Source organism: Homo sapiens, chromosome 5 (assembly GCF_000001405.40).
Source record: "Homo sapiens chromosome 5, GRCh38.p14 Primary Assembly".
Lineage (NCBI taxonomy): Eukaryota > Metazoa > Chordata > Mammalia > Primates > Hominidae > Homo > Homo sapiens.
In genome coordinates this window covers 33,380,679-33,395,394 of record NC_000005.10, presented here as the reverse complement: position 1 = coordinate 33,395,394, position 14,716 = coordinate 33,380,679, and the positions used below count along the sequence as shown (strand labels likewise).

The 14,716-nt window shown below is 39.8% G+C and overlaps 1 pseudogene; it reads right to left on the bottom strand.

Annotated features, from left to right (window-relative positions):
- Window positions 1-13,632: 13,632 nt before the first annotated feature.
- On the bottom strand, window positions 13,633-14,150 carry LOC112267948 (translation machinery-associated protein 7-like; annotated as a pseudogene).
- Window positions 14,151-14,716: the final 566 nt, after the last annotated feature.

The following is a 14,716-nucleotide window of genomic DNA, read 5'->3' as shown; positions in this document are numbered from 1 at the left end:
TTTATAACTAGGAAATGGTTGAGCCATTTGAAACTCCAGTGTCTACCTTCTTTAGATTAGCTATCAACAAACTGGTTAACTTTTACCACTAGTGTGCACAAAAACTCTTCAATGGGGTTAAGTGGGTAAGAGAGACTTAGGGGATTTTTTTTTAGATTATAAAGGTCTATCTTCATTACTTTTTCTAAAATTGATCTGTCCAAGGTGAAAGTCATTCTAGCTGTCTTTTCTCAACTTCCCTTTTACAATCAGCTTTTTGCCATTTGATATTTTGTTAAGTGAAATAAGCTGAGAATGGAAAGGCCAATAACACATGTTCTTATTAATATATGGAAGCCAGAAAAGTTGATCTCATAGAAGCAGAGAGTAGAATAGTGGTTATTAGAGGCTGGGAAAGCGGGAGGGATAGGGAGAGGTTAGTTAATGGTTACAAATTACAGCTGGATAGGAGAAATAATTTCTAGTGTTCTAAGGGCTATAGGGTGACTATAGTTAACAATAATTTACTGTATATATTCTTTTTCTTCCTTTTTTAATTATACTCTAAGTTCTAGGGTACATGTGCACAATGTGCAGGTTTGACACATAGGTATACATGCACCATGTTGGTTTGCTGCATCCATCAACTCATCATTTACATTAGGTATTTCTCCTAATGCTATCCCTCCCCCAGCCCACAGCCCTCAACAGGCTCTGGTGTGTGATGTTCACCTCCCTGTGTCCAAGTGATCTCATTGTTCAATTCTCATCTATGAGTGAGAACATGCGGTGTTTCGTTTTCTGTCCTTGTGATAGTTTGCTGAGAATGATGGTTTCCAGCTTCATCCATGTCCCTGCAGAGGACATTAACTCATCCTTTTTTATGGCTGCACAGTATTCCATGGTGTATATGTGCCACATTTTCTTAATCCAGTCTATCACTGATGGACAGTTGGGTTGGTTCCAAGTCTTTGCTATTATGAATAGTGCCACAATAAACATACATGTGCATGTGTCTTTATAGTAGCATGACTTATAATCCTTTGGGTTTATACCCAGTAATGGAATTGCTGCGTCAAATGGTAATTCTAGTTCTAGATCCTTGAGGGATTGCCACACTGTCTTCCACAATGGTTGAACTAATTTACACTCCCCCAACAGTGTAAAAGTGTCCCTATTTCTCCACATCTTCTCCACATCCTCTCCAGCATCTATTGTTTCCCGACTTTTTAATGATTGCCATTCTAACTAGCCTGAGATGGTATCTCATTGTGGTTTTGATTTGCATTTCTCTGATAACCAGTGATGATGAGCATTTTTTCATGTGTCTGTTCCCTGCATAGATGTCTTCTTTAGAGAACTGTCTGTTCATATCCTTTGCCCACTTTTTGATGGCGTTGTTTGTTTCTTGTAAATTTGTTTGAGTTCTTTGTAGATTCTGGATATTAGCCCTTTGTCAGATGGGTAGATTGCAAAAATTTTCTCCCATTCTGGAGGTCGCCTGTTCACTCTGATGGTAGTTTCTTTTGCCGTGCAGAAGCTCTTTAGTTTAGTTTGATCCCATTTGTCTATTTTGGCTTTTGTTGCCATTGCTTTTGGTGTTTTAGTCATGAAGTCCTTGCCCTTGACTATGTCCTAAATAGTATTGCCTAGGTTTTCTTCCAGGATTTTTATGGTTTTAGGTTTAACATTTAAGTCTTTAATCCATCTTGAATTAATTTTTGTATCAGGTGTAAGGAAGGGATCCAGTTTCAGCTTTCTACATGTGGCTAGCCAGTTTTCCCAGCACCATTTTTTAAATAGGGAATCCTTTCCCCATTTCTTATTTTTGTCAGATTTGTCAAAGATCAGGTGGTCGTAGATGTGTGGTGTTTTATCTGAGGCCTCTCTTCTGTTCCATTGGTCTGTATATCTGTTTTGGTACCAGTACCATGCCGTTTTGGTTACTGTAGCCTTGTAGTATAGTTTGAAGTCAGGTAGAATGATGCCTCCAACTTTGTTCTTTTTGCTTAAGACTGTCTTGGCAATGCAGGCTCTTTTTTGGTTCCATATGAACTTTAAAGTAGTTTTTTCCAATTCTGTGAAGAAAGTCATTGGTAGCTTGATGGGGATGGCATTGAATCTATAAATTACCTTGGGCAGTATGGCCATTTTCACGATATTGATTCTTCCTATCCAGGAGCATGGAATGTTCTTCCATTTGTTTGTATCCTCTTTTATTTCATTGAGCAGTGGTTTGTAGCTCTCCTTGAAGATGGCTTTCACATCCCTAAGTCAGATTCCTAGGTATTTTATTCTCTTCGAAGCAAGTGTGAATGGGAGTTCACCCATGATTTGGCTTTCTGTTTGCCTATTAATGGTGTATAGGAATGCTTGTGATTTTTGCACATTGATTTTGTATCCTGAGACTTTGCTGAAGTTGGTTATCAGCTTTAGGAGATTTTGGGCTGAGAAAATGGATTTTCTAAATATACAATCATGTCATCTGCAAACAGGGACAATTTGGCTTCCTCATTTCCTAATTGGATACCCTTTATTTCTTTCTCTTTCCTGATTGCCCTGGCAAGAACTTCCAACACTAGTTTCAATAGGAGTGGTGAGAGAGGGCATCCTTGTCTTGTGCTGGTTTTCAAAGGGAGTGCTTCCAGTTTTTGCCCATTCAGTGTGATATTGGCTGTGGGTTTGTCATAAATAGCTCTTACTATTTTGAGATACATTCCATCAATACCTAGTTTATTAAGAGTTTTAAGCATGAAGGGCTGTTGAATTTTGTTGAAGACCTTTTCTGCATCTATTGAGATAATCATGTGGTTTTTGTTGTTGGTGCTGTTTGTGTGATGGATTACATTTATTGATTTGCCTATGTTGAACCAGCCTTGCATCCCAGGAATGAAGCCAACTTGATCATGGTGGATAAGCTTTTTGGTGTGCTGCTGGATTCAGTTTGCCAGTATTTTATTGAGGATTTTCGCATTGATATTCACCAGGGATATTGGTCTAAAATTCTCTCTTTTGTGTGTGTGTGTGTGTGTGTGTGTGTGTGTCTCTGCCAGGCTTTGGTATCAGGATGATGTTGGCCTCATAAAATGAGTTACAGAGGATTCCCTCTTTTTCTACTGATTGAAATAGTTTCAGAAGGAATGGTACCAGCTCCTCTTTGTACCTCTGGTAGAATTCGGCCATGAATCCATCTGGTCCTGGACTTTCTTTGGTTGGTAGGCTATTAATTGTTGCCTCAATTGCAGAGCCTGTCATTGGTCTATTCAGAGATTCAACTTCTTCCTGGTTTAGTCTTGGGAGGGTGTACGCATCCAGGAATTTATCCATTTCTTCTAGATTTTCTAGTCTGTTTGCATAGAGGTGTTTACAGTATTCTCTGATGGTAGTTTGTATTTATGTGGGATTGGTGGTGATATCCCCTTTATCATTTTTTATTGCATCGATTTAATACTTCTCTCTTTTCTTCTTTATTAGTCTTGCTAGCAGTCTATCAATTTTGTTGATCTTTTCAAAATACCCACTCCTGGATTCATTGATATTTTGAAGGGTTTTTTTGTGTCTCTATTTCTTTCAGTTCTGCTCTGATCTTAGTTATTTCTTGCCTTCTGCTAGCTTTTGAATTTGTTTGCTCTTGCTTCTCTAGTTCTTTTAATTGTGATGTTAGGATGTCAATTTTAGATCTTTCCTGCTTTCTCTTCTTGGCATTTAGTGCTATAAATTTCCCTCTACACACTGCTTTAAATGTGTCCCAGAGATTCTGATACGTTGTGTCTTTGTTCTCACTGGTTTCAAAGAACATCTTTATTTCTGCCTTCATTTTGTTATTTATCCAGTAGTCATTCAGGAGCAAGTTGTTCAGTTTCCATGTAGTTGTGCGGTTTTAAGTGAGTTTCTTAATCCTGAGTTCTAATTTTATTGCACTGTTGTCTGAGAGACAGTTTGTTGTGATTTCTGCTCTTTTACATTTGCTGAGGAGTGCTTTACTTCCAATTATGTGGTCAATTTTGGAATAAGTGCAATGTGGTGCTGAGAAAAATGTATATTCTGTTGATTTGGGGTGGAGAGTTCTGTAGATGTCTAATAGGTCTGCTTGTTGCAGAGCTCAGTTCAGTACCTGGATATACTTGTTAACCTTCTGTCTCCTTGATCTGTCTAATATTGACAGTGGGGTGTTAAAGTCTCCCGTTATTATTCTGTGGAAGTCTAAGTCTCTTTGTAGGTCTCTAAGGACTTGCTTTATGAATCTGGGTCCTCATATATTGGGTGCATATATATTTAGGATAGTTAGCTCTTCTTGTTGAATTGATCCCTTTACCATTATGTAATGGCTTTCTTTGTCTCTTTTGATCTTTGTTGGTTTAAAGACTGTTTTATCAGAGACTAAGATTGCAACCCCTGCCATTTTTTGCTTTCCATTTGCTTGATAGATCTTCCTGCATGCCTTTATTTTGAGCCTATATGCATCTTTACACGTGAGATGGGTCTGCTGAGTACAGCACACTGATGGGTCTTGACTCTTTATCCAGTTTGCCAGTCTGTGTCTTTTAATTGGGGCATTTAGCCCATTTACATTTAAGGTTAATATTGTTATGTGTGAATTTGATCCTGTCATTATGATGTTTGTTGGTTATTTTGCCCGTTAATTGATGCAGTTTCTTCATAGCATCGAAGATCTTTACAATTTGGCCTGTTTTGCAGTGGCTGGTACTGGTTATTTCTTTCCATGTTTAGTGCTTCCTTCAGGAGCTCTTGTAAGGCAAGCCTGGTGGTGACAAAAGTCTCTCAGCATTAGCTTGTCTGTAAAGGATTTCATTTCTCCTTCACTTATGAAGCTCAGTTTGACTGGATATGAAATTCTGGGTTGAAAATTCTTTTCTTTAAGAATGTTGAATATTGGCCCCCACTCTCTTCTGTCTTGTAGGTTTTCTGCCGAGAGATCTGCTGTTAGTCTGATGGGCTTCCCTTTGTGGGTAACTTGACCTTTCTCTCTGGCTGCCCTTAAAACTTTTTTCTTCATTTCAACCTTGGCAAATCTGACAATTATGTGTCTTGGGGTTGCTCTTCTCAAGGAGTATCTTTGTGGTGTCCTCTGTATTTCTTGAATTTGAATGTTGGCCTGCCTTGCTAGGTTGGGGAAATTCTCCTGGATAATATCTTGAAGAGTGTTTTCCAACTTGGTTCCATTCTCCCCATCACTTTCAGGTACACCAATCAAATGTAGATTTGGTCTTTTCCCATAGTCCCATATTTCTTGGAGGCTTTGTTCATTTCTTTTTACTCTTTTTCTCTATCCTTGTCTTCTTGCTTTATTTCATTAATTTGATCTTCAATCACTTATACCCTTTCTTCTACTTGATTGAATCAGCTACTGAAGCTTGTGCATGCATCACGAAATCCTCGTGCCATGGTTTTCAGCTCCATCAGGTCGTTTAATGTCTTCTCTACACTCTTTATTCTAGTTAGCCATTCGTCTAATCTTTTTTCAAGGTTTTTATCTTTCTTGCGATGGGTTTGAACATCTTCCTTTAGTTGGAGAAGTCTGTTATTACTGACCTTCTGAGGCCTACTTCTGTCAACTCATCAAAGTCATTGTCTGTCCAGCTTTGTTTTGTTGTTGGCAAGGAGCTGCGATCCTTTGGAGGAGAAGAGGTGCTCTGATATTTAGAATTTTCAGCTTTTCTGCTCTGGTTTCTCCCCATCTTTGTGGTTTTATCTACCTTTGGTCTTTGATGTTGGTGACCTACAGATGGGGTTATGGTGTAGATGACCTTTTTGTTGACGTCAATGCTATTCCTTTCTGTTTGTTAGTTTTCCTTCTAACAGTCAGATCCCTCAGCTGCAGGTCTTTGGAGTTTGCTGGAGTTCCACTCCAGATGCTGTTTGCCTGGGTATCACCAGCAGAGGCTGCAGAACAGCAAATATTGCTGAACCGCAAATATTGCTGCCTGATCCTTCCTCTGGAAGCTTTGTCCCAGAGAGTCAGCTGCCTATATGAGGTGTCTGTCAGCCCCTACAGGGAGGTGTCTCCCATTTAGGCTACCTGGGGGTCAGGGACCCACTTGAAGAGGCAGTCTCTCTGTTCTCAGAGGTCAAACACTGTGCTGGGAGAACCACTGTTCTCTTCAGAGCTGTCAGACAAGGACGTTTAAGTCTGCAAAATTTGTCTACTGCCTTTTGTTCAGCTAAGCCCTGCCTACAGAGATGGAGTCTAGAGGCAGTAGGCCTTGTTGATATGGGGTGGGCTCTGCCCAGTTTGAGCTTCCCAGCTGCTTTGTTTACCTACTCATGCCTCAGCAATGGTGGACGCCCCTCCCCCAGCCAGGCTGCCATCTCGCAGTTTGATCTCAGACTGCTGTGCTAGCAGTGAGCAAGGCTCTGTGGGCATGGGAGCTGCTGAGCCAGGCATGGGAGAGAGTCACCTTTTCTGCTGGTTGCTAAGACCTTGAGAAAAGTGCAGTATTTGCACAGGAGTGTCCCGTTTTGCAGGTAGTCTGTCATGGCTTCCCTTGACTAGGAAAGGGAAATCCCCAGACCTCTTGTGCTTCCCAGGTGAGGCAATGCCTCACCCTGCTTTATCTCACCCTCTGTGGGCTGCACCCACTGTCCAACCAGTCCCAATGAGATGAACCAGGTACCTCAGTTGGAAATGCAGAAATCACCCGTCTTCTGCGTCGATCATGCTGGGAGCTGCAGACCAGAGCTGTTCTTATTTGGCCATCTTGGAACTCCTTTTTTATTTATTTTATTTATTTATTTTTTTTGAGACAGAGTTTCACTCTTGTTGCTGAGGTTGGAGTGCAATGATGTGACCTCGGCTCACTGCAACTTCTGCCTTCCAGCTTTAAGTGATTCTTCTGCTTCAGCTCCCCGAGTAGCTGGGATTACAGGTGCCTGCCACCATATCCAGATAATTTGTTGTATTTTTCGTAGAGACAGGGTTTCACCATGTTGGCCAGGCTGGTCTCAAACTCCTGACCTCAAGTGATCCACCCAACTGAGCCTCCTGAAGGCTGGGATTACAGGTGGGAACCACTGCGCTTGGCCAATTTATTGTATATTTTTCAAATAGTTAGAAGAGAAGATTTTGAATATTCTTAACACAAAGAAATGATAAATGTTTGAGGTGATGGACATGCTAATTAACAGTATCAAAATATCACACCGTATACCATAAATAGATACCATTATTATTTGTCAACTAAAAATAATGATTAAGAAAAAAAGAAAGAAAGGCATATCTCCCATTCATTCCTGATCTTACTATATTTCATTGCCTCAGGCTGTAAAACTAAGTTTGTTTGGTGATCAAAGAGACAGTTTGAAATATTGGAGTCTGTACAGCCTTCTTTAAACAAAGAATCATGGGAGGTCTTCACATGTTTTTATGTTTGTCTTTCTTTCTTTCTTTCTTTCTTTCTTTCTTTCTTTCTTTCTTTCTTTCTTTCTTTCCTTCCTTCCTTCCTTCCTTTCCTTTCCTTTTCTTTCTTTTTTTTGAGACAGAGTCTCACTCTTGTTGCCCAGGCTGGAGTGCAGTGGTGCCATCTTGGCTCACTGCAACCTCTGCCTCCTGGGTTCAAGAGATTCTTCTGCCTCAGCCTCCTGAGTAGCTTGGACTACAGGTGTGCACCACCATGCCCGGCTAATTTTTGTATTTTTAGTAGAGACAGGGTTTCACCATATTGGCCAGGCTGGTATCGAACTCCTGACCTCATGATCTACCCACCTTGGCCTCCCAAAGTGCTGGGATTACAGGCGTGAGCTGCCAGGCCTGTCTTATGTCTTCTTTCTTATTTTATTATTGAGTGTATATATATATATATATATATATATATATATATATATATATATATATATACACACATGTATATATACATACTCACATATGTGATACTTATATGTTTATTTTCATGCAGGGTTAGTTTCATTTCAGGGTTATTGAGTTCTAACATATATACAGCAAATATTACTACATTTTATGTACAGTTCAATGAATATTAACAAATCCATGTTGTCAAACAATAATAACCCTTATCAAGTTATAGAACATTTCCACTCATATGGTTTGGATATTTGTCCCCTCTAAATCTCATGTTGAAATGTAATCCACATTGTTGAAGTGGGGGGCCTAATGGGAAGTGTTTGTTCATGGGGACAGATCCCTCATGAATGTCTTCATGCCCTTCTCACAGTAATGAGTGAGTTCTGGGGAAATATGTTTTTTTTTTAAAAGAGTATGGCATTTGCCTCCTCCCTTTGTCTTGTTCTTTCTCTCACTATGTGATGTGCCTACTCCCTCTTTGCCTTCCATCATGAGTAGAAGCTTCCTGAGGCCTTCACCAGAAGCAGATGCTGGCACTATGCTTCCCGTACAGCCTGAAGAACCATGAGCTGAAATAAACCTCTTTTCTTCATGAATTTTCTAGTCTCAGGTATTTCTTTCTAGCAATGCAAGAACAGACTAACACATCCAATATATCAAAAAGTTCTCTCTTTCTCCTTTGCAGCCTGACCTCTTTCTCTCCCAGACCCTGTCAATCATGGATCTGATTTATATATCTACAGTTTGTATCTTATTTCTTTCTGTGTCTTATATCCAATAGACCAACAAAGTATGACTTTGGAACTAAAGATTTTGACCCACTTTTGGATGCTGTGGGTTCAAACATAGTACAGAGTGAGTGGGAATAAAATAATTTTTGCATCGTTCTTGAATTACTATCATATGAGAGCAAAGCAAATAGAGAATCCATAAGAAAATATTGACCCTAATCCATTGACTCTCCTATCCTTTACTGTCTATTTAACAATTGTTAAATCCAACTTCTCCTCTACTCTATGCCTATGTCAATGTGGCTTAACACAGCAGAAGGATTCTGTGCCAGCACTGCTGATTAGCACCACTTTAAAGTTCACAAATCCTAAGTGTTCTCTTAAGGCTTCCTGACAAATAGTTTACATTTTCCTAGTCTGAGTTTAATGTCCCATTAATATGGTTTTGTTCTATGTCCCCACCATATCTCATGTCAAATTGTAAGCCCCAGTGTTGAAGGTGGGGCCTGGTGGGAGGTGACTGGACCATGGAGGTGGTTCTTCATGAATGGTTTAGCACCATCCCCACTTGGTACTCTATAGTGAGTGAGTTCTCATGAGATCTGGTTGTTTAAAGTGTGTGGCACCTCCCTGCTCCCTTGCTCCTTCTCTAGCCGTGTAAGATATCCCTGCTGCCCTTTGCCTTCTGCCATGTTTGTAAGTTTCCTTAGGCCTCCCTAGAAGCCAAGAAGATGCCAGCATCATGCTTCCTATACAGCCTGTGGAACTGTAAGCCAATTAAACCTCTTTAAAAATTACCTAGTCTCAGGTATTTCTTTATAGCAATGTGAGACTGGACTAATATAGAAAATTGGTACCAAGGAGTGGAACATTGCTATAAAGATACCTGAAAATGTGGAAGCAACTTTGGAACTGGGTAATAGGCAGAGTTTGGAAGGGTGAGGGCTCAGAAGAAGACAGGAAGATAAGGGGAAATTTTGAACTTCCTAGAGACTTGTTAAATTGTTGTGACCAACATGCTGATCGTGATAGGGACAATGAAGTCCAGGCTGAGAGGTCTCAGATGGAAATGAGGAATGTATTAGGAACTGGAGTAAAGGTCACTTTTGCTATGCTTTAATAAATAACTTGATTGGATTGTGCCCTTTCCCTAAGGATCTGTGGAACTTTGAACTTGAGAGTGATGATTTAGGGTATCTAGTGAAAGAAACTTCTAAACTGCAAAGCAGTCAAGATCTGGCCTTGCTGCTTCAACCAGCCTATGCTCATATGTGTGAAGAAAGGAATGAAGGCTTGGAAGACTTCAACTAGATGGCAGAGGATGTATGGAAAAGCCTGGCTGTCCAGGAAGAAGTCTGCTGCAAGGATGGAGCCCTCATAGAGAACTTCTACTAAGGCAATTAAGAGGGAAAACATGGGGTTGAAGCCCACACACAAAGTCCCCACTGGGACACTACCTAGTGGAGCTGTGAGAAGGGGGCCACCATACTCCAAACCTTGGAACAGTACAGCCACCAACAGCCTGCACTGTGTGCCTGGAAAAGCCACAAGCACTCAACTCCAGCCCATGAGAGCAGCTGCAGGGGCTGAACCCTACAAAGCCATGGGTCAGAGCTGCCCAACACTTTGGAAGCCCATCCTTTGCACCAGTGTGCCCTGGATGGGAAACATGAAGTCAAAGGATAGTATTTTGGAGGTTTAAGGTTTAATGACTGCCTTGCTGGTTTTTGGTCAGACTTGCATGAAATCTTTTGGCTGATTTCTCACTTTTGGAATGGGAGTATTTACCCAGTGCCTGTACACTCATTGTATCTTGGAGGTACCAACTTGTGTTTGATTTTACAGGCTCATAGGTGGAAGGAACTTGCCTTGTTTCAGATAAGAATGTGGAATTTTGAGTTAATGCTGGAAGAAGTTAAGACTTTGGGGTACTGTTAAGAAGGCATGATTGTATTTTGCAATGTGAGAAAGACATGAAATTTGGAGGGCTAGGAGTGGAATGATATGGTTTGGTTCTGTGTTCCCAACAAATCTTATGTCAAATTGTAATCCCCAGTGCTGGAAGTGGAGCCTAGTGGGAGGTGACTGGATCATGGAGGTGATCCTTCATGAATGGTTTATCACCATCCCTCCTTGGCACTGTATAGTGAGTGAGTTCTTGGGAGTTCTGGCCATTTAAAAGTGTGTGGCACCTTCCCCCGCCTTGCTTCTTCTCCAGCCATGTAAGACATGCCTGCTTCCCCTTTGCCTTCTGCTGTGTTTAAGTTTCCTGAGGTCTCCCTAGAAGCCAAGCAGATGCCAGCATCATGCTTCCAGTATCAGATATTTCTTTGTAGCGATATGAGAATGGATTAATACAGCCATTCTTGTAGATGACTGTTTTATAAATTTTCCTAGTCCTCAAGTCACCAACATCTCCCTTTGGATTCCTAGTCTCAATGAAAATACTGAGGCAATCACAAGAGAATTTTCACAGGCTCTCACCATCATTATTGTCAATGTATCTACTGACAATTTATATCTGCATACTCTACCTTCTTTCTGTTAAACTCTTCAGGTACAGGCAAAAGACCAATGCTTCCACTTGCATGATAGACTCCATTCCCTAGCTTATGCATAGATAATATTCCAAGCATTCTCCCCTCTTTCCCAGATTATTAATTTTCTGCCATCTATTAGGCCATTCCTAATTAATATATAAACAAACTGCTATTTCTGTTATCATAAAAACAAAACAAACCTCTCAATATCACTTCTCCTACTGGGTGTGTATTGTCCCATTTCTCTGCTCCCCTTTACAGCAAAACTCCTCAGGAGAGTGTCTCAACTCACTGTCTCCAGTTCTTTTCCTTGCATTCTGTCTTAAACTCACTCAACTGAATCTTTTCCTGCATGGGGGAGAAAAGTAATATTACCTCTCACCCATCCCAAGATTCATGGCTGAGGCCCCTATAACAAAGGAAAGATTGTCAAAAGAAAACCATACAAATTTGTTTAATATACATTTTACATTAGCTGAGAGCCTTTGAAATGAAGACTAAAAGAAAGCAGGAAACCTGTGTTTTTTTGTGAAAAGTCATGCAGAAATATGATTGGAGGACAAAAAGACATGATCTAATGGTAAAAAACTGATGGGAACTTAGCAAGACCTGTTTATTCAGATTCTTCTTGGCATCTCTGTATCTTCAAGGATAAAGTTATTTCTTTCCTCAAGGTACAGGGTGGACACCTCAGGATAAAGTTTTTATGACCTAAACTTACATTAGAAAGTCAGAGAATTCTTTTTTTACCTACTTCAAGGGAGAAGAGGGAGGGAAAAGTGAGCCTGACTGCTATGGTTTGAATGTGTCCTCCAAAAAACATGTATTGGAAATTTAATCCCACGTGCAACAGTGTTGAGAAGTGAAACCTTTAAGAGATAACTAAGTCTTGAGGCTCTGCCCTCATGAATGAATTTATGTCATTTTCACAGAAATTGGCTCATTATTCCAAGAGTAGGTTTGTATAGAATCTAGTTAGGACATTTCTTGCTCTCTCTCACCATGTGATGTCTTCCACCATGTTATGATGGAGTGAGAAGGCCCTTACAAGACGCAGCTTCTCAATCTTGGACTTCCCAGCCTCCAGAACCATGAGCCAAGTAAACTTCTACTTTTTATAAATTATCCAGTCTGTAGTATTCTGCTGTAGCAGCACAAAATGTAAGAAGACAATGACCTTTTTTCTGCTGTTTCTTCAACTGTCAAGAAGACAATGACCTTCTTGTTTCTGCTGTTTCTTCAAGTGTCAAGGTACCATATTTTGGGGTGTTGTGTCCTAAACTCCATCTACTGCATCATCTTCTAAAACCTTTCTTGTCAAGGTCACCAATGACCTTCATTTTGCCAAGTCCAAAGCCTAAAGTCATTGTCTTACTTGAACTTAAATGCCATATGACATTGTTGATCACCACTACTTTCCTGGAAGTCATTTCATCCCTTGGCTTCCAGGATAACACTTTTTTCATGTTTTTCTTTACCTAATTGGCTACAGTTTTTTAGTCTCCTTTTTATCCTCTTCTCCTATTTATCTTAACATTGGGTCTCTAGTCCTTTCTATCTACACTCATTCCATAATGTCATCCAGTTTCATCTGTATGAAGAAAATTCCCAAATCTATGATGCTACCTTGAATTTTTCTTTGAACTCCAGACTCAAATTGCATATTTGATTGCTCCACTTGAATGTCTAATAATCATCTCAAACAAAATATTTAAAAGAGAACTATCTTTTCCCTAATACCTACTTCACCTGTAATCTCCATCTCTTTTCATGGTAATGCTATTATATCAAAGACTTTCATCTATTTTTGATTACTGCTATATCCCTAGGAACTAGGCTCTGGTACATTCATTCAACACATACTTGCTGAATGAATATTAATGATTATAGCACTGGACTAGGTGCAATGGCTAACACCTGTAATCCCAGCACTTTGGAAAGCCAAAGTGGGAGGACTGCTTGTGTCCAGGAGTTTTAGACTGGCCTAGGCAACATAGCATGACCTTGTCTCTATAAATCAAAAATTAGCCAGGTGTAGTGGTGCATGCCTGTAGTCCTAGCTACTTGAGAGGCTGAGGTAAGAGGATCGCTTGAGCCTAGGAGGTCAAGGCTGCAGTTACATGTGATTGTGTCACTGCCCTCAGCCTGGGCAACAGAATAAGACCTGGACACACACACACACACACACACATACACACGACTATAGCACTTTATTGCATCCAGGTAACACACTCATAACAAAGTTCTATTTCTGAGGCCAGGTGTGGTGGCTCATGCTTGTAATCCTAGGATTTTGGGATACCAAGGTGGGAGGATTGCTTGAGGCTAAAATTTCAAGGTCAGACCACATCTGTACAAAAGAAAAGTCAGCTGGGTGTGGTGGTGCACACCTGTAGTCTCAGCTACTTGGGAGGCTGAAACAAGAAGATTACTAGAACCACTAGTGGATAGCACCCACTGCACTCCACCCTGGGCAACAGAGACTCTCTCTCTTAAAAGAAAAAAATCCCTATATGTCCTTCCTTTCTTCTCTTTCCTATTTTGTATTTAGAATTCACATGTAATAATCTTAAATTTAATTCAATACTTATTTAATTTCAGACTTTTTCTTCAACAATACTTGACTTGGCTGTCTGACTTAATTTGACAAGGATTCTCCACTTGTTGAATGAGTAAAACCTGCAAGTGCATTTAAAACACAAATGAAGATAAAATAATTTTATTGAAAAATGTATGACAGTGTAATTTTTTTACAATAGTTTATTCTTAAATGTACAGCAGGCTCCAAGACAACATTTCATTCTAGCCAGGTGGCAAGACATGTTATGGCAGATCTTTAAATATGAATGGAATCAAGGGGCACCATTGCCTCAGGCATAAGGAACAGTTCATGGTTTCCCAGATTTCTTAATTCCACCTGTGGCCTGGGGCCCTTCCTCGTAGCCTTTGCTTTTAGCTTCTTGAGTTTCTTTTGCTCCACTTTTGGCTTCTGCTTGAAAAACCTTTATTTTCCTTTTCTATCTCCTTGGTCTGCTTTCTGGGCTGTTTCAGGGGCTTCTTGCCACCTTCATGGCTGGACATGGTGCCTGCTATCCCTTCCACATTTCAAGTCAATATTATTTCGAGTTTTTCAAACCTTTCTGTATATATTGGGTTAAACAAGTTTCCTGAAAGTGAACAAGACATATCAATCACTTGACAACTTTGGATAAAGCCTTTTTGTTGTATTTTCCAGATTTCAGAAAGTGGACGATTTTGTCAGATTATAGACCTTTTGCAACTCAAGTGGCTTCCAATTCCTTGTTTCCAATAAAAGTAGCCAGTTGGCAAATTACTAAAAATGACTCTTGAAGATGGTTCCTTGTGGAATTTTTGCTATGTAACTTAAAAAGAGTTCAAATCATTAAATTATATTGCTATAATAAAATTCCTTCTATACATATTTATAGGACTAGGTTTTTTCAGTACTTACATTTATAAAAAATAAAAAACATGAGTAAAATTGATACTGAGCTGTGTCTCATTAAAATAATTATTATTATTTAGTGAACTAATTGAAAAAATTCTCATTTTATTAAAAGACATATGTCCAATAAAATTTTACTTTTTATGTTCAATTTAGTTATTTATTGAACTTTGTAATATAT